This window comes from Homo sapiens, chromosome 11 (genome assembly GCF_000001405.40).
Source record: "Homo sapiens chromosome 11, GRCh38.p14 Primary Assembly".
Classification (NCBI taxonomy): Eukaryota; Metazoa; Chordata; class Mammalia; order Primates; family Hominidae; genus Homo; species Homo sapiens.
In genome coordinates, this window is record NC_000011.10 from 76,967,644 (window position 1) to 76,988,678 (window position 21,035).

General features: G+C 40.4%; 1 protein-coding gene and 1 long non-coding RNA gene across 12 annotated transcripts in view; one reads left to right on the forward strand and one right to left on the reverse strand.

Moving 5' to 3' along the window:
• The window catches only part of ACER3 (alkaline ceramidase 3), a 165,880-nt gene that overhangs the window by 106,726 nt on the left and 38,119 nt on the right, over positions 1–21,035 (forward strand). For all 9 annotated transcript variants that reach the window (XR_007062489.1, NM_018367.7, XM_011545151.3 and 6 more), the window contains 2 exons: positions 8,646–8,698; positions 18,000–18,081. Coding sequence is in view for 8 of the 9 variants with exons in the window: in NM_018367.7 (NP_060837.3) it covers positions 8,646–8,698; positions 18,000–18,081 (135 nt within the window). In the remaining variant the exon portion in view is untranslated. The remainder of the gene's footprint in view (positions 1–8,645; positions 8,699–17,999; positions 18,082–21,035) is intronic.
• The window catches only part of ACER3-AS1 (ACER antisense RNA 1), an 80,139-nt gene that overhangs the window by 12,098 nt on the left and 47,006 nt on the right, over positions 1–21,035 (reverse strand). For 2 of the 3 annotated variants that reach the window (XR_007062790.1, XR_007062791.1), the window contains exon 1: positions 10,758–10,855. The exons of the other annotated variant lie outside the window; for it this stretch is intronic. This is a non-coding gene — a long non-coding RNA (ACER antisense RNA 1). Of the gene's footprint in view, positions 1–10,757; positions 10,856–21,035 lie in introns of those variants that run through there. 3 annotated transcript variants of the gene reach the window in all.

Consider the following 21,035-nt stretch of genomic DNA (forward strand, 5'->3'; position numbering starts at 1 on the left):
AATCAATAAACGTAATCCAGCATATAAACAGAACCAAAGACAAAAACCACATGGTTATCACAATAGATGCAGCAAAGGCCTTTGACAAAATTCAACAGCCCTTCGTGCTAAAAGCTCTCAATAAATTAGGTATTGATGGGACATATCTCAAAATAATAAGAGCTACTTATGACAAACCCACAGCCAATATCATACTGAATGGGCAAAAACTGGAAGCATTCCCTTTGAAAACTGGCACAAGACAGGGATGTCCTCTCTCACCACTCCTATTCAACATAGTGTTGGAAGTTCTGGCCAGGGCAATCAGGCAGGAGAAGGAAATAAAGGGCATTCAATTAGGAAAAGAGGAAGTCAAATTGTCCCTGTTTGCAGATGACATGATTGTATACCTAGAAAACCCCATCGTCTCAGCCCAAAATCTCCTTAGGCTGATAAGCAACTTCAGCAAAGTCTCAGGATACAAAATCAATGTGCAAAAATCACAAGCATTCTTATACACCAATAACAGACAAACAGAGAGCCAAATCATGAGTGAACTCCCATTCACAATTGCTTCAAAGAGAATAAAATACCTAGGAATCCAACTTACAAGGGATGTGAAGGACGTCTTCAAGGAGAACTACAAACCACTGCTCAAGGAAATAAAAGAGGATACAAACAAATGGAAGAACATTCCATGCTCATGGGTAGGAAGAATCAATATCGTGAAAATGGCCATACTGCCCAAGGTAATTTATAGATTGAATGCAATCCCCATCAAGCTACCAATGACTTTCTTCACAGAATTGGAAAAAATTACTTTAAAGTCCACATGGAACCAAAAAAGAGCCCGCATAGCCAAGTCAATCCTAAGCCAAAAGAACAAAGCTGGAGGCATCACTCTACCTGACTTCAAACTATACTACAAGGCTACAGTAACCAAAACAGCCTGGTACTGGTACCAAAACAGAGATATAGACCAATGGAACAGAACAGAGCCCTCAGAAATAATGCCACATATCTACAACTATCTGATCTTTGACAAACCTGAGAAAAACAAGAAATGGGGAAAGGATTCCTTATTTAATAAATGGTGCTGGGTAAACTGGCTAGCCATATGTAGAAAGCTGAAACTGGATCCCTTCTTTACACCTTATACAAAAATTAATTCAAGATGGATTAAAGACTTACATGTTAGACCTAAAACTATAAAAACCCTAGAAGAAAACCTAGGCAATACCATTCAGGACATAGGCATGGGCAAGGACTTCATGTCTAAAACACCAAAAGCAATGGCAACAAAAGCCAAAGTTGACAAATGGGATCTAATTAAACTGAAGAGCTTCTGCACAGCAAAAGAAACTACCATCAGAGTGAACAGGCAACCTACAGAATGGGAGAAAATTTTTGCAATCTACTCATCTGACAAAGGGCTAATATCCAGAATCTACAATGAACTCAAACAAATTTACAAGAAAAAAACAAACAACTCCATCAAAAAGTGGGCAAAGGATATGAACAGACACTTCTCAAAAGAAGACATTTATGCAGCCAAAAAAACACATGAAAAAATGCTCATCGTCACTGGCCATCAGAGAAATGCAATTCAAAACCACAATGAGATACCATCTCACACCAGTTAGAATGGTGATCATTAAAAAGTCAGGAAACAACACGTGCTGGAGAGGATGTGGAGAAATAGGAACACTTTTACACTGTTGGTGGGACTGTAAACTAGTTCAACCATTGTGGAAGACAGTGTGGCGATTCCTCGAGGATCTAGAACTAGAAATACCATTTGACCCAGCCATCCCATTATTGGGTATATACTCAAAGGATTATAAATCATGCTGCTATAAAGACACAGGCACACGTATGTTTATTGTGGCACTATTCACAATAGCAAAGACTTGGAACCAACCTAAATGTCCAACAGTGATAGACTGGATTAAGAAAATATGGCACATACACACCATGGAATACTATGCAGCCATAAAAAAGGATGAGTTCATGTCCTTTGTAGGGACATGGATGAAGCTGGAAACCATCATTCTCAGCAAACTATCACAAGGACAAAAAACCAAACACTGCATGTTCTCACTCATAGGTGGGAATTGAACCATGACAACACGTGGACACAGGAAGGGGAACATCAGACACTGGGGCCTGTTGTGGGGTGGGGGGAGGGGGGAGGGATAGCATTAGGAGATATACCTAATGCTAAATGACGAGTTAATGGGTGCAGCACACCAACATGGCACATGTATACATATGTAACAAACCTGCATATTGTGCACATGTACCCTAAAACTTAAAGTATAATAATAATAAAATTAAAAAAAAAAGAAACCTGTTTAATAAGATCTTATAGTGTGCAGGGTGTAACTTAACTCTTAGCTTTCATGGCTACCTTGCAACTCTTACTGTGATTATAATTTGGTAATGGCTGTTTATTGGCACAGTCTGTTTTGTCAGTCTTATGATCTCTATTTTAACCTTAATCATGGGCAGTTGTGCCTAAACTCCAAAAGGGTGAGGATTATAACGAGGCATGTCGGACCTCCTTTCCCCATCATGGCTAAAAATTCAGTTTTCATGTTTCTCTGGGGTCCCCTTGGCCAAGAGGGGTTCATCCAGTCAGTTGGAGAGCTTAGAACTTTATTTTTGGTTTACATATGCCATCTAATAGGCTGCAGTGACAAGAAAAATGTCATCACTTCTCTGATACTCTTGCCAAACATGCGTAATCTGAATTTAATATTATGAAAACATCAGACAAAACCAAATTGAAGGACATTATACAAAACATCTGGCCTATCATCTTCAGAAGTATGATAGTCATAAAATTCAAAGACTGATGAAGTGTTCCAGATAAAAGGAGATAAAAAGACCTGACAACTAAATACAATGTACATGTGTGTGTGTGTGTTCATATTTGTATTTATGATATTATTGAGACACTTAAAAAAATTGAATGAGGTCTGTGGATTACATGTAGTAATAAATCAATGTTAATTATTGATTTTGTTGGTAGTATTGTGGATATGTAGGTGAGTTTTTTTTTAAAGTATAACTTACTTACCATAAAATTCACCTTTTTTTTTTACCCTATCATACAACAGTAAAAATTCACCCTTTTAAAGTGTACAAGTCAGTGGTTTTATGTATGTTCACAGATTGTGGAGCCACTGCCACTATCTAATCCCACAACATTTCATCACCCCAAAGAGAAATCCATGCCCATTAGCAACCACTCCCTATTACTCCCTCCAACAACCCCTGACAATCACTCTCTTCCTGTATGGATTTGCCCATTCCGGACATTTCATATCAATGGAATCATATAATGTGTGGCCTTTTGTGTCTGGTTTCTTTAACTTAGCATGTTTTCACACAGTTCACCCATGCTGTAGCAAGAAGTACTTAATTTTTTTACCTGAATAATATTCCATTGTATGGATATGCCATATTCTTTTATCCACTTGTCAATTAATGGAAATTTGGGTTGTTCCCACGTTTTAAGTATTATGAATAATGAATAATGTTGCTATGAACTTTTGTGTACATGTTGTGTTGTAGGGAAGTTTAAATTTTTCCCCAAAGGCTCAATGATTTGAGTCTATAAAACACACTAATAGGCCGAGCGCAGTGGTTCACGCCTGTAATCGCAGCACTTTGGGAGGCCGAGGTGGGTGGATCACGAGGTCAAGAGATCAAGACCATCCTGGCCAACATGGTGAAACCCCGTCTCCACTAAAAATACAAACATTAGCTGGGTGTGGTGGCACGCGCCCACAGTCCCAGCTACTCGGGAGGCTGAGGCAGGAGAATCACTTGAACCCGGGAGGCAGAGGTTGCAGTGAGCCAAGATCGCGCCACTGCACTCCTCCTGGTGACAGAGTGAGACTCCATCTCAAAAAAAAAGAAAAAAAAACCGATAATAGATTAACAAGAAAAAAGGCATACAGGTCTTATTAACATGTATGGGCATGGCATACAAAATATGAAAAACTCAAACGGTCAGAAGATTGATACTTTTATACCATCTTGAGGTCACAGAAAGAATAGGGGCTTGGAGCTTAGCAAAACAGGTTATGGTAGCAAGACTGGTTATAAGAGGGAAAGAAGAGGAAAGGCCTGGCTGGCAAAGGCAGCCTTGTTATATGGATGAAACTTCATGGGTAGCAGCTCTCAGAAAGAATAGATGGTAGCCTTTGGTAAATATTTCTGTCAGACCTTTAAAGGTGTCAGATTCTCAGTTAATCTTTCCTAGATCCAGATGAAGGGGTGGGGGGTGGTTCAAAGAAAGCCTGTTCGCATCTGTTGTTTACTTGACTTTATTTCCTCTACAGATGCACATCTCCCCTAGAAAAGACAGCTTTTTAGCTATTCTTTGGTTTCTAGTCCCTCTGAATCGCTGTCCTGAAATATATCAAAGAAATATATTTGGGGGTGAAATATTTTTAGTTTCCCTCATTGTGGATGTATGTTTTCAGTTTTCTTAGACCTATACTTAGGAGTGGAATTGCTGGGTCATTTAACCTTTTGAGGAACTGCCAGGCTGTTTTTGAAAGTGGCTGCACCATTTAGATTCCCACCAGCAACTTCTCCATATCATTGCCAATACTTGTTATTGTTTATCTTTTTAGTATAGCCATCTTGTGGGTATGAAGTAGTTTCTCTCATTGTGGCTTTGATTTGCATTTCCTTAATGACTAATGTTGAACATCTTTTCATGTGCTTATTGACACCATTTGTATATCTTCATAGTAGAAATGTCTATTGATATCCTTTGCCTATTTTTAAAATAGCCATAGTTGTATTTTTCTTATTGAGTTGTAAGACTTCTTTCTATATTCTAGATACTAGACTCTGGATACAGATATGATTTGCAAATATTTTCTTCTGTGAGTTTTCTTTTCACTTTCTTTTTTTTAACATCAATTAAATTACATTTATTTAAATATCCTCATCAAAACACATCTTATGAAGCATCTTTTCTGTGACACCCTGATCTATGCCAGATCCACTCTATGCTGCTGTTTTCTGACATCAGTTTCTGCCAGTGCCCTCCAGTGAGGAGCCCCCAACTGGGCATTCTGAGGGTGCATGTGTCTCCCTCGAGGCTTCCTGAAGCAGGGGCACGACACCTCCTCCATGTACCAGGGGGTGAAGGTCTGCAGGGTCAGGGGTTGGGGGGAACCCCTGTATTGTTGCTGCTCCCTGCTGCTGTCCAGAGTCCTCTGCAAACTGCTGACCCCCTTCCCAAAGTGGCAACAATCTGAGGGTCTGACACCCACAGTGGTGTGTGTGGGACCCCCAAGGTGCCCGACAGTAACTGATGGTTCCTATACCCATCTGTGGACTTCTGGGCTTCCAGTGCATCCCAAATGTTCCTTTGTCAAGATAGTAACGCCACAGGGCTCTCAGGATGATCTAGGCACTGTTCTTGGAGCCCTATAAGTGAGGCCAGGCCCATGGAGCAGAGCAGCTGCCCAGGTGACAGCCATGATGGGGCCTTTCAAGCCGGGAAAGGCAGGCAACGGATTCCCCTGAAGTTGACCCCTTGATTTCAGCCTGGTGAGACCCATTCTGGACTTCTGACCTCCACAACTGTCATCAGCTTGTGCCGTTTTGAGTCACTGCATTTATGGTGACTTGTTACAGCAGCCTTGAGACACTGAGATACCCCCCTGTGCCCCAAGTCTGTGGTGTCACTGCTTCAGCCTGGCCCTGCTTTTGCTGGGACTGCTGCAGTAGCCTGGTGAGCCTGACTGGATCCTCAGTGGCGGTCAGACTTTTTATCTGAGGACCCCAGGGGTGCTCGCTCTGTGGTAGTCATGATCTTGGTCCTCAAAGGGACGGACATGTCCATACCTCATGCCTGTCCACACCCTCAGCTCCTCCACCCAGCTCCAGGGAAGCATGAGTGCCCAGCTCAGGGTTGGGTGCCAGTCCCTTCCTGCCCCTAGCAGGCCCCCTACAGATGCCGAGTTCTAGCATGTGGGACACAGGCAAGCAGGCCCTTGCCAGGCTTAGAGCACGGATGGCCTGTCCCGTCTTTTCACTTTCTTAGTAGTGTCCTTTGATGCAAAAAAAGTTTTCAGTTCTACTGAAGTACACTTTATCTGTTTTTTTTTCTTTGGTTGCTTATGTTTTTGGTATCATAGCTAAAAAACTATTGCCTAATCCAAGGTCGTGAAGATTTATATCTGTGTTTTTGTCTAAGAGTATAGGTCTTACATTTAGGTCTTGGTCCATTTTGAGTTAATTATTTATGTGGTATGAGGTAGGGGTCTGGCTTCATTCTATAGTACTTGGATATCTAATTGTCCCAAAACCATTTGTTGAAAAGACTGTTCTTTCCTTATTGAGTTGTCTTAGCACTCTTATTGAAAATCAACTGGTCATAAATGTGTGAGTTTATCAGCTCTCAATTCTATTCTATTGACTTATATATCTATTCTTATGCTATTACCACATAGCCTTAATTACTGTACATTTGTAGTAAGTCTTGAAATTGGAGAGTGTGAGTATTCCAAGTTTGTTGTTCTTTATTGTTTTAGCTACTGTGGGTCCATTTTCATATGAATTTTAGGATCAGCTTGTCAGTTTCTGCAAAAAGGTAGATGGAACACGTTTTCACCATGTTGACCAGGCTGCTGTTCTATATCTTCTTACCTAACTTTGAAATAGGGCTTGATGCCATATGGGTCATAGCAGCTAGATGGCATTCTTACTTTTATTGTTTCTGGATAAAGATCAGTCTTAGTACTAAGGTAAGAGCCAACAGTGATATAGTTGGTTATAGCTTACTAAAAAGAAAAAAATCTTTCAATTACTTTAGTGTGTACCATTAACTTCAAGAGAGGTATCAGGAAGTAGAAGTCAGATATGAACTGCTCCACCACTTAAAAGTGTCTCAGGATCCTTAGGGTGAAGAAGTGGCATATACAGTGAAACCTGAAAAATATCCAGAAGTGATTAAGGTAAAGAGGGACTAGGGGAAGAGGAGAAGCTTAAGTAGAGGAAACAGCACATGCAAAGGTCCTGTGGTAGGAAAGAAACGTGAAGAACTGAAAGCCCAACATTGTTCAAACTTAATTAGTGAGGGAGAGAAGGGATATAAATTTTTACTGTTGTATGAAGGGGTTAAAAAAAAAGGTGAATTTTATGGTATGTAAGTTATAGCTTAAAAAAAAACTCACCTACATATCCACAATACTCCCAACAAAATCAATAATTAACATTGATTTATTATTACATGTAATCTGCAGACCTATTTCAAGCTGGGATTGTGCCATTGCACTCCAGCCTGGGTGACAGAGTGAGACTCCGTCTCAAACAAACAAACAAACAAAAAAATTAATGACTAAAAATAGTTAACTTGCACAAATGCTATTATTTTCATAATTCTAATAATTTACCAGAATGAATCATTCACTTTACATAAGCTCTCTTCCTACTTCCTAGAATGCCTTTCTCCGCCACCCCATTTCATTTCATTCCTGCCATCACTTTCTTTGGCTTTTGTGTCTTTTGTTGGAGTCCTTACTCTATATTTAATCATGCTTTCATTCCCTTAACCTCTAATTAGAATGCGAACTCCTTGAAGGCAGTGACTGTGTCTTAAAATTGTATCCTCAGCTCTTAACACATTACTTGGCACATAGTGGACATTTTATTAAAGAATTAATTAAATGTGTATCTAGTAATAAATAAACTCTAAGATTGGTATCTACAACACCTAGCTTAGTGTCTAGCTTGCAGTTTAACACATAATGGCTGTAATTATTATTACTACTATTATTATCATTGCTAATAATAATAATAAATGTTATTTCTCAGAGGTATACTTTACTTAGATTAATAAAATTATTTCCCTGGCCATTAATACCTCTTCTTATGTATGTTAGTAGACACTTTATCCATTTAAGGTGATATAGGAAGGATGGAAATGCAAAAGAATACTGATAGGACCTATGGACCTGTAGATGATGGACATCATTTTTTTCTGGAGGTACAATATCATAGTTTGTAATACCAGATGATATGAGCAGCACAATGACAAGTCTGCCCTCCAGGAATAGTGAGTCAGGTACCCTGCTTAGTATGTACATTAGGACACTTGGATGATAACCTTGTTTGTTCAAAAACAGTAAACTACACACACATACTCAGAGTAAATTTGATGACAAATATATAAAGAGAATTAGTAAAAGAAATAAGAGCTGAAACCTTTTTTTCTTTTCTTTTTTTTTTTTTTTTTTTTTTTGAGACAGGGTCTTGCTCTGTTGCCCAGGCTGGAGTGCAGTGGTGCAATCATGGCTCACTGCAGCCTCGACCTCTCAGGCTCAAGCGATCCTTTTGCTTCAGCCTCCCAAATAGCTGGGACTACAGGCACATGCCACTACCATGCCCTGCTGATTTTTTTTAAAAGTTTTTGTAGAGACAGGATATTACTGTGTTACTCAGGCTGATCTCAAACACCTAAGTTCAAGCGATCTTCCAACCTTGGCCTCCCAGAGTGCTGGGATTACAGGTGTGAGCCTCTGTGCCTGGTCTAAGAGCTGAAAATCTTAATCATTTTGATGTTTTATTTTGATTTGCATAATAATTGCTGCTCCATGATATTCAAGCCTGTTATCTATCTTTGTTTCTTACAGCTATTGGATGAACTCCCAATGATATACAGCTGTTGCATATTTGTGTACTGCATGTAAGTACTTTTAAAATTTCATTGTTTGATTTATTTTTAAATTTATATTTACCTCATAGTGGATTAATATAACTGATACATTTATATTACTAGGATATTTTAATAATGTAGAAGATTATAAATTTTATGATATCAATATAGAGTATAATTTCTGGGAAGTTACAATAATGTTGTTTATTAACTTTTGTGATCTCAAAACCCTGTAGCCAATTTAGATAGGATCTAAATAGCTTAAATTCCATAATTTTCCTTTCCCAAGTGAATAATGTGTACAAATTTAGATAAAGATTTTCATATTGTGCCATAAAAGTTTTCAGATACAGTTTCTGTATTCTACAATATAGTTTAACAAGACGCTTACCAGAAAAGTGAGGTACACTTCTAGTTGTATAGTGATCGTGTCAACTTAATCTCCTTTTTGTTTGAAGTTATCTTTTAAATAGATACTTGCTTTCTTATTCTAAGGTAGACTAAATGCTCTCAAGAATATACTTATTTTGATTGGTTATTTACAAATATGGAAACAGCTTACAGGCCATTCCCAATCCAAAGTTCTCTTACTGTATTATATTCTGTTTACTTTATTATCAAGTTAATTTGCATTTCCTGAATGTCAAGGAAAAAATCAATCTTGAAAGATAAAAATGATTATGATAGTAACATTAATAAATGCTAATATGTAACTGCTTTGTACTGTGCTAGGCAGTGTACAATGCCATCTCTAATTCTCAACAACTATGCAAGATAAATGGGTATTGGCCCCATTTTATAGACAAGGAAGTAAAGCACAGAGAGATGTAGTAACTTGTCTATGGACAAAAACAGAACTTGATTTAAAAGCATACTGGCCAGGCCATTGTCCAGGTAAACAGTCTCTAAGGAACACTGAAATATCCCTGGAAATATATCATGATGGAGAAAATTACAATGATCACAATTCCTCTCAAGGAGAGGTTGGAAGAACACTTTGATAGGCTGCCTGGGTATGTGGTAGAAGTGTAGAAGTGAGACCCTTCCTGTACTGCATGATCAAATAATGTGCCTTCTAAGGAGGGTGGGTGAGGTTAGCTATAGGTCTTCTATTTGAGTAAGTTAGGGTATGCAGGTTTGGGCTCTAGCTAAGTCACTGGGAACATTAGAGGAAAGCCTCCTTCACCCATTACCCTGCAACATCAGCCTTCTCTAAATGTTGGACAAGTATGTTAAGAATATGTGTTTGGAGGGGCAAAAAAATTACTAGCTTATGTAGGGACCCACATGCCTGAGTCAGGCCCTAGTAACGAGGCTTTTGAGGGCAGCAGTAGCCCAGTTAGAGCAGCCACTGCAAAGATGCTGGCTGCAGCAGGGGAGGCAGTGCTGGTGGGGGCCGGGAACAGGTGGGAACCCCGTCCCCTACTGAGTTGGTGGGGCAGGAGCCCCACACTCCCGGGCACAGCTGCAGATGCCCAGCCATGGCTCTGGACCTGGGCATCCCTGCACTCTTGGAGTTCCAGGAAACCCCTTGCCCCTGCAGGCTTGAAAGTGCCTGCTCCCACTGCCTGGCTTCTCTCCGCTCCCAGCTCCCACTCCAGGGCAGAGCAAAGCTGTGGCCGAGCCCGGGTGCTGCCACAACTTGGCCAGGTGTGCATGTGCTTGGGGTGGTGCTGACATGCCAGCCCCCTGCCACCTCCGCCCCCTCTGGACTTTAGGCACTGACAAGCATGGGAGGGAGGCCGAGGCGGGGACTGAGGGCAGCTTGGTGTGGGCCTGCAGGCACCCCTCGGCAAGAACAGCCTGGGCACCATGGGCCATACATTGATGGTGGCAGGAGGCAGACAGGTTCCTGGGCAGAAAGGGGCAGTCCCCGGTGAAGCTCCACCTTCAAGCCGGGGACAGCCTGAAGCCTGGGGGCCAGGCTGTCATTTCCGGGTGGAGTCTGTGGCCCAGAGTGAGAACTTACAGTGCTTTTTCCAAGCCCTCCCATGGCTGCCCATTGATCAATCAGCACTCACTTCCTCCCTCCCGAGCCCATAAAAACCCCAGACCCAGCCAGACTCACACAGATGACTGGAGGACCTACCTGCGAATAGGAGCTGCCCACTCTGGGTCTCCTCTCCACTGAGAGCTGGACATTCACTGGGATGACCTGCCTGCAGATAGGAGCCACCCACTTTGGGTCTCCCAAGAGCTGTTCTGTCACTCAATAAAGCTCCTTTCCACCTTGTTCACCCTCCAGTTGTCCGCATACCTCATTCTTCCTGGATGCAGGACAAGAACTTAGGACTTGCCAAATGGTGGGCTGAAAGAGATGTAACACAAACAGGGCTGAAACATATCCCTCTCCCCAGCTTGCCACATTGCAGGAGATAAGAAGGAGAGAAGAGCTGTGGCCCTTCAGGGAGCCCAGACCTAGGGGCTCCGCGAGCCAGGGCTGTGACACCCTTTTGGGGGCTTGGTGGTTTCTGGCATCTCCCAGTTTCCAGGCACCACTGCATTCCCCTTGTCCAGATGGGGGTGCCCACAGTGGAAGATGCTTACGGTGTATCTGATCAAACCGCAGGCTTACATGGAGCCAGTGCCTATGCTGGCTTCTGGAGCTGCCTGCCCTGCTGCAGTAGCCAGTGTGCCTGGCTGTGCACAGTGGCTAGACCCCAAGCTTGCTCATTAAACACTTCTCACTGCTCCATTCCTGGCTTCCCCTTGGCAGGCATGGGATCCAGGCTGGTAGCATGAGCCAAGTGCAGCCTGCCAGGCCGAGTGGGCAGAATGAGCCCAGTGGGCCAGAACAAAACTTGGGCAAAGGTGCCACCAGCCACAGAGGTTTCTGGCTAGAAAAGCAACACCCTAAGGATCCTGAGACACTTTTAAGTGGTGGAGCCACAATTCAAAGCAGTTCATATCTGACTTCTACTTCCTAATACCTCTCTCAAAGTTAATGGTACACACTAAAGTAATTGAAAGATTTTTTTCTTTTATTTTTAGTTAGCTATAACCAACTATATCACTGTTGGCTCTGACCTTTACTAAAACTGATCTTTATCCAGAAACAATAAAAGTAAGAATGCCCATCTAGCTGCTATGACCCATATGGTGTCAAGCCCTATTTCAAAGTTAGGTAAGAAGATATAGAACAGCAGCCTGGCCAACATGGTGAAAACCTGTCTCTGCTAAAAATACAAAAAATTAGCCAGGCGTGGTGATGTGTGCCTGTAGTCCCAGCTACTCGAGAGGCTAAGGTGGGAGAATCGCTTGAACCCAGGAGGCAGAAGCTGCAGTGAGCTGAGATGGCACCACTACACTCCAGCCTGGGTGACAGAGTGAGACCCTGTCCCCCCCAGAAAAAAAGATATAGAACGGGGATCAGAAAACTTTTTCTGTAAAGGGCCAGATGATAAATATTTTAGGCTTTGTAGGACAGGAGTCTCTGTTGCAGCTCTTCAACTCTGCTATTGTAGCTTGGAAGCTGCCACAGATAATATGTAAATAAATGAGTGTGACTATGTTCCAGTAACATTTTATTAAAAAAAAAACAGGTTTAGCTGGGCACAGTGCTCACAAATGTAATCCCAGCACTTTTGGAGGCCAAGGTGGGAGGATCGCTTGAGCCCAGGAGTTCAAGATAAGCCTGGGCAACATAGGGAGACCTTATCTCTACAAAAATTACAAAATTAGCCAGGCATGGTAGTGCATGCCTGTAATTTCAGCTACTTGGGAGGCTGAGGTGGGAGAATCACTTGGGCCCTGGAGGTTGAGGCTGCAGTGAACCATGATTGTGCCACTGCACTTCAGCCTGGGAAACAGAGGGAGACCCTGTCTCAAGAAAAACAAAAACCAATACCAAACTAACAAAAAAAAACAGGCTCAGGCCAAGAGATTGGCTCTTGAGCCATAGTTTGTCACCTTGGTCTAAAAAAATAAGGTAAACTCCTTTTAATAACATATTTTAAAAACTATTCTGATGTTTATATATCTTTAGGAGAAGATATTCTTGAGCTAGCAATTATGACTATACTGAAAAGAATCAGATAACCATCATATAATGGGTACAAAGAACTCTTAAGTATTAGTGCTAGGAGCTGGGCATAGTTGCTCACATCTGTAATACCAGCACTTTGGAAGGCCAAGGCAGGAGTATTACTTGAGCCCAGGAGTTCAAGACCAGCCTGGGCAGTATAGTGAGACCCTGTCACTACAAAAAAATTAAAAAATTAGCTTGCATGATGGTGCACACCTCTGTCCCAGCTACACAGGAGGCTAAGGCAGAAGGACTGCCTGAGCCCCAGGAGGTTGAGGTTGCAATGAGCCACGATTGTGCTGCTACTGCACTCTACCTAGGGGACAGAGCAAGACCCTGTCTCAAAAAAAAAAGAAAAAGAAAAATAGTTTTAGTGCTAGGGAACAGCAGATATTACTTAGAAGGATACTGATAATGTAGATCAATTTTCAGCTCTGATATTTAGTAACTGAATGAGCTTAAGTAAGTCAACCTTTGTTCCTTCGTTTGTAAAAGTGGAGATTATAGTACTTATAAATTTCCCATGAAGATTAAAATAAATGATTTGTTTATAAAATAAACTTATTGTATGCTATTCATGTATCATGCACTGTGATAGGCTCTAGGAACTGGGAAATTAAGTAAGAAATAGTCCTTTTACCTCAAGAAATTTGTAGTTTAGTAAAAGAAACAGAACCAGAAACAAGCAGCTTTCATGTGATGTGATTAATACTATACCTGAGACATACAAAGTTCAGTGGAGTAGAAAGGGATAGAGCTTGCCATTATATGAAAATGGAGCATGGTGTCCTGTCATAGTGAATTAAACATAAGTTTCATCATTGCTACCACCTCAGAGTATAAAAAAGAATATATAAAAAGAGCATGCAAAGCTTTTGTTTCTCAAAAACTATGTCTCTGGATTCTAATCTTTCCTCAGCAATCTTCTGCACTATCTGTTTATGATCATATTCCCCCATTCAGAAAGAGCCTGCTGTAGTACACTTTAAGTGACACTTAGAAGGAAATGAAAGGGGTGAAATAATTTTTAATCCACTGTATTGACACACAGTTTACATGGAATAAAATGCACCCAGTTTAAGTGTATGGTTTGATGAGTTTTGACAAATGTATACTCCTATTTACCCATTACCCTTATGGCAAGAAAGAGAAACAGAACATTTCTATCACATTAGAACATTCTTTTCTGACCCATTGCAGTTAATACTGACACCTACCCTGGCCTCCAGGCCACCACTGATCTACTTTCTATAATTATAGATTAGTTTGTCTGCTCTGGAATTTTATATAAAAGAAATTATACCATATGTACTCTTTTGTAACTGGATTCTTTTATTCAGTATAATATTTTTTGAGGGCACTAATTTGCCAATTACTTTTGATGAATATATTCATGTATGTTGTTACATATATCATTAGTAGTATTCCATTTTATACTGTTTACCAATGTTGAACATTAAGGTTATTGCCAGTTTGGGGCTACTATGAATAAAGGGACCATGGACATCTGTTAACAAGTCTTTGTATGGATATATGACTTCATTTCTCTTGGGTATATACCTAGAAGTGGAATTTCTATGTTGTATGGTAAGTATATGTTTTACTTTATAGGAAACTGCCAAACTGTTTTTCAATTTAGTTGCACCTTATTATTGTTCTACTGGCAATATATGAAACTTCCATTTGCTCCATATACTTGCCAAGACTTGGTATTATCAGTCTTTTTTATTTTAGTCATTCTAGTGAGTATGATATACTATCTCTGTGGTGTTTTAATTTGTATTTTCTTAGTGACTAATGATGTGCATCTTTTTTTATTCTAATTGTCCATTTGTATGTGTTATATTAAGAACTATCTATTCAATCTATTCAAACCTTTTTCCTTTTTTTTTTTTTTTTTGAGACAGAGTCTCGCTCTGTCGCCACTCTGGAGTGCAGTGGTGCGATCTCGGCTCACTGCAACCTCTGCCTCCCGGGTTCAAGTGATTCTCCTGCCTCAGCCTCCCAAGTAGCTGGGACTACAGGCACCCGCCACCACCTCCAGCTAATTTTTGTATTTTTAGTAGAGATGGGGTTTCACCATGTTGGCCAGGATGGTCTCGATCTCTTGACCTTGTGATCCGCCTGCCTTGGCCTCCCAAAGTGCTGGGATTACAGGCATGAGCCACTGTACCCAGCCCCCATTTTTATAAAATAGCTTTTTTTCTTTTTGAATTGTAAAAATTCTTTATCTATTTTGGGTTCAAGTCCTGTCAGATATTTGTATTTTAAATATTTTTCCAGTCTGTGAATTGTCTTTTCATTTAATGTCTCTTGAAGAACAGAAGTTTTAAATTGTTATAAAATCCAATTTATTTTTTAAATGTTCATGAATAGTGTTTTTGTGTCATAAGAGATCTTTGCCTTCCCAGGATCAAAAATATTTTGTTTGTTTATTTTTTCTAGAAGTCTTATAACTTTATTTTACATTTAGGTCCATGATCTATTTTGAGTTAGTTTTGTCAAAGATCATGTTTTCCTTACCAGTATCTAGTTGTTCCAGAACCATCTTTTGAGATTATTCTTTCTGCATTAAATTATCTTGACTTTTTTCTCAATTCTGTTTTATTGATCACTGCGTGTATCCTCATACTGTCTAGTTACTGTAGCTTTATTGTAAATCTTGAAGTCAGTTAGAATAAGTCCTTCACTTTTGTTCTTTTTCAGTATAGCTTTGGAAATTTTAGTTCCTTTGCATTTCCACATAAATTTTAGAGTCAGCTTGTCAATTTTTACAAAATAGCCTGCTGGAAGATTGACTGTAATTTCTTCGACTCTATAGACCAGTTTGAGGAAAGTTAATATCTTAACATTACTAAGTCTCCCAAACCATGAATGTGGTTCTTTAATTTATCCAAGTGACTTTTTGTGATTTTAAGTGAATTGATCTTTGTTAAATTTAGCCCTATGTTTTTCATGGTTAGGATGCTATTTTCAATAGTATTGCTTTTTTTTCTTTTTTGACATGGGGTCTGGCTCTCACCCAGGCTGGAGGGCATTGGCACGATCTTGGCTCACTGCAATCTCCTCATCCCAGGCTCAAGCCATCCTCCTACTTAGCCTCTCAAGTAGCTGCGACTACAAGTGCGCTCCACCATGCCCAGCTAATTTTTGAATTTTTGTAGAGACGAGATTTTGCCATGTTGCCCAAGCTGGTCTCGAACTCCTGACCTCAAGCAATCTTCCTGCCTCAGCCTCCCAAAGTGCTGGAATTACAGGCGTAAGCCACTGCACTTGACCACAGTATTGCTTTTTAAAAGCTTTATATTCCAATTGTTCATAGCCAGCATTTAGAAATATAAGTGATTTTTGTATATTGACCTTTTATCTTATCACTTTGATAACTTATTCATTTTTCTGTTGATTCCTTAGGATATTCTTTGAACATATCAAATATGTGAAGCAGTCTAGACCTCTAATGATTTTTTTTTTTTTTGAGACAGTCTCACACTGTCGCCCAGGCTGGAGTGCAATGGCGCAATCTTGGCTCACTGCAACCTCTGCCTCCCGGATTCACGCGATTCTCCTGCCTCAGCCTCCCGAGTAGCTGGGATTACAGGCATACACCTGCAACGACTAATTTTTTTGTATTTTTAGTAGAGATGGGGTTTCACTGTGTTGGCCAGACTGGTCTCGAACTCCTGACCTTGTGATCTACCCACCTCGGCCTCCCAAAGTGCTGGGATTACAGGCGTGAGCCACCGCACCTGGGCTCTAATGATTTTTAAATCTGTCTTGCCTTCTGTGTGCTTGTTCATTTGTGAAACATGTACTGGAAAACCTCCTTTATTTTAGGCATGATCCTAGGCTCTGTAGATACAGAATCAGGAACTCATTGTCTGAGGAAGGGGACAGATAAGAAAGTGACTATATGTAATAAAGTGAAATAACCATGGTAATAAATACAAGCCAGGCCTCCTAAAGACCTTTGGTTTCTTAACAGATAACTTGCTTTTGAATTTGGAATAATAGAGTTTAAAAGTAAAAACTAATATTTCACCTAATATTTTCATCATTGTCCAAGTCACAAAATTTAAAGGTAAAAGAGATCTTAGAAAGTGCCTCTTCTAACCACCTTTCCTTACAAATAAGAAAATAAGAGTTGGTCCAATTCCCACAGCCAGTTAGTAAACTGAGAGAACACTCTTGCTGCCTATACCAAGTCACAGTCCTCAAAGGTTGGATTGGATACTCACTGATGGCCAATTGTCTGTTCATATTTGCTTATTTACCGGATACCTCCTATGTGTTCAGCATTATCTTTGTGCTAGTTATATGAAAAAAATAAAATTTATTCCTGCACACAAGGAATTCACAGGCTAGTTGAGGAGATAGATAAGGGAAGAGACAATTATAATAGACTACTATTTTCTCCAATAATATTCCTTAGGAATCATTAGTTGCAAGATATAGAAACCTATTCAAGCTAGCTTGAATTAGGAGAGATTATTTATTTACTGTAAGGATATGAGGAAATTATATCCTTATTTATTACATCCTTATTTATTGTAAGGATGTGAGGAAATTATGTGGAACCCAATAGCAGGAAGTACAGCCCCACCTTACTAGAACTGGAAGGACAGGTTCTTCCCCCTTCCCTCTTTTTGCCATTCCTTCCTCTCCACATGGCTTCGCCTCTTTGTATCTGCTATATTTTTCTCTCCCTGCAGATTACTTCTGCTCATTCATCTACTTCTTCATTCAATTTGGCTGCCCCCAAATATCAGCCTCAGACCTTGAGTCCATATGACTTTGACTCTCTATACCTCTTTTTTGGAGACAGGGTCTTGCTCTGTCATCCAGGCTGGACCCTCTATCTCCCAGGCTCAAGCTCTCCTCCCACCTTAGCCTCCCGAGTAGCTGGGACTACAGGTGTACACCACCATGCCCACTAATTATTTTATTTTTTGTGGAGACAGGGTCTCAATTTGTTACCCAGGCTGGTCTCGAAATCCTGCACTCAAGTGATCCTCCTGCACTGGCCACCGCGCCCAGCTAACTCTCTATACTGAATTGATTCAGTCTCTCTCTCCCAAACTCCAGACTCTCAGGCAAGAGCCTTTCATTGTCCCAGTTTAAGTCACGTGTCTACTCCTAGTCCTTCCAGCCTCTTAGAGGATAATAGGCAGTGCAGGTTTTCTCTATGAGTGGAAAGAAATGATGGATATCACTTATCATCGAGAGATATAGGCAAGTGGTAAAGCAGCATTCTATTTATGTTCCTACTTATATATTCTTTTAAAAGTTTCTTTCTCTCTTTTTTTCAAGGTTTGAATGTTTCAAGATCAAGAACTCAGTAAACTACCATCTGCTTTTTACCTTAGTTCTATTCAGTTTAATAGTAACCACAGTAAGTCATATTTTGTTTCTAACAGATTAAGCATGTAAATTCACCATTTATGGAGTTTGACATATTTTACTTCCAGTATTTGCTTCATGCTGTCAAACTGAAATCTTTCTACACAAAACAAGAATATCACACTGACAAATATTGCTCCCTTGTTCTCTGTTCAAATGTTACTTCTCACTGTAATTGAAATACTTTTAAAAATCTGTTTAGTTTTTAAAGGGAAAAAGCAAAAAAGCAAATATTTAGTAGCAATAATTGGGAAAAATTAATTTTTCTCATAGATGGACATATTAGCTCCTATTTGTTAAAAATGAGAGATTGGCTCTGCTCCATTGGTCCAAATGTGACTGTTGTAATGGTTAACTTTTCTCTAGTAAGTTGAGATAGCTAGTCACTTCTAATTCTACATTAATGCTTTTTTTCTCAAGTAAATTGCATTTTATATTATGAAAATATTTATTGCAGAAAACATTTATTGAAAACTTACCATGTCAGGCACTAGAAATACAGAGATGATTAAAAAGCAGTTGCTATCTGTGAGGAGCTCATTCTGTTAGAGATTTTAGACATGTACACAAAGAATTGCATCAAAAGATAATAATTGCAATAATAGGGGTAAAAACTACTTATATGGTGATGAGATAAAGGAGGTTCAATCAAGGCTTCATGCATGAGTCAAGGAAAGCTTCTGAGATGAGGCACTTGCACTAGAATTTAACTGATGATTAGGAGTTCATCAGACCCCTGGGCAAGAGTGCAGTGAAGAATTTGTAGATAGCACTATTGTTTTTTCATAGGCAGAGAACTTTGAAACAACATAGTGAACTACCATTTTCAATCACTTACTATATGCCAGATATTGTAACTATGTACTTTACCTTCATTGTCTCATTAAATCATCACCACTGGTAGAATTGGGCAAGATTTAATATGGCTGGAACATATGGTAATTGAAGAGCAGTGAATGAGTCTAGTGAATTAGACAAATGTCAAATTATAAATACCCCTCTATGCCTTGTTTGAGAGTTCAAATATTTATCCTCGAAGAAGTGTGGAGCAGTTAGGCGCAGTGGCCCACTCCTGTAATCCCAGCACTTTGGGAGGCTGAGGCTGGTGGATCACCTTGAGGTCAGGAGTTCATGACCAGCCTGGCCAACATGGTGAAACCCTGTCTCTACTAAAAATGGAAAAATTAGCTGGGTGTGGTGGCACTCCCCTGTAATCGCAGCTACTCAGGAGGCTGAGGTGGGAGAATTGCTTGAACCCCGGAGGCGGAGGCTGCAGTGAGCTGAGATCGTGCCACTCCACTCCAGCCTAGGCAACAGAGTGAGACTCCGTCTCAAAAAGAAAAAAAAGAAAAGAAAAAGGTAGTGTGGAGCCAATAACTGGTTTAAAGGAAAGATGTAATCAGATACGTGTTTTAGAAAGATTGCTCTGGTTATGAGGCTGGATTACAGGAGTATGAGACTAGACCCAGGGACTTCTGTATTTGCTTTAGTAAGATATGAGACTCAGGTGAAAGTAATATAGCTGTGGGGTTGAAAAGAAACGGTCATAAGTAACAAACTGCAGGATATGTGACCCACTTCATAGTAGAGGGGGTGGAAGTAGAGTAAAAAGGAGTTGTCTAGAATGACTCCTGGCCTGGTTGTCAGGATAGATAGTATGTCCTTAATCAAAACAGGAAACTTGGAGGATGAACAGCTTTTGCAGGATAGATAATGAGTAGGTTTGTGCCATGGGGTAGGGGTAGAGATAAATTCAATATGAAATGTGTTAAGATTGAGGTGCCTGACATTAATTACATCTGAGGCTTTACAGTTAGGCTGGCCTAAAGATGTAGATTTAGGAATTGTCAGGGTATAGATAGTACAAAAATATGAGAATAGATGACCTGAAAAAGTAGCATAGGCCGTTAAGATGACTAAAGGGGCCAGGCACAGTGGCTCACACCTGTAATCCCAGCACTTTGGGAGGCCACGATGGGAGGACTACTTGAGCCCAGGAGTTCAAGACCAGCTGGGCAACATAGTGAGACCTCGTCTCTACAAAACATTTTTTAAAAATTAGCTGGATGTGGTGGCATGCACCTGTAGTCCCAGCTACTCAGGAAGCTGAGGTGAGAGGATTGCTTGAGCCCGAGAGGTCAAGGCTTCAGTGAGCCATGATTGTGCCACTGCACTCTGGCCTGGGTGACAGAGTGAGGCCCTGTCTCAAAACAAACAAAGACTAAAAGTACAACCTAATGAAATACTTACATTTGAGGACTAGGTGGAAGAAATGGAGCTAGCAAAAGAGACTGAGAACAAGTAATTAGGGATGTAAGAAAGCTAGGAGAGCCTGATGTCATGGAGTACAAAGATTTCTAGAAGTGAAAAATGGAAGAACAGTTGCCTCTGAAAGGATGAGTACAATGAATATTGAGAGCTAATAGAAATTTTCAGTTGGAAGACCAGGTAACCTTAATGAGGATGCTGTCAGTAGTGAATTGATGGAGGCAAAAGCCAGATTTCAGTTAGTTGAGATGTTGAATAGGAGGTTGAGAGGGCACATATGCACTATTTACTTGTTTCCACATTACTTTGCCTAAACTACTGTATTAGTCCCTTCTCATGCTGCTATAAAGAAATACCCAAGACTGGGTAATTTATAAAGGAAAGAAGTTTAATTGACTCACAGTTCCGCATGGCTGGGGAGGCCTCTGGAAACTTAACAAATCATCGTGGAAGGTGAAGCAAACACATCCTTCTTCACATGGTGGCAGGAGAAAGAAGTGCAGAGCGAAGGGGGAAGAAGCTCCTTATAAAACCATCAGATCTCATGAGAACTCACTCACTATGATGAGAAAAGCATGAGGGAACCACCCCCATGATCTGTTCACCTCCCACAAAGTCCCTTCCCCAACACATAGGGATTACGATTCAGATTACAATTCAAGATGAGATTTTGGGTGG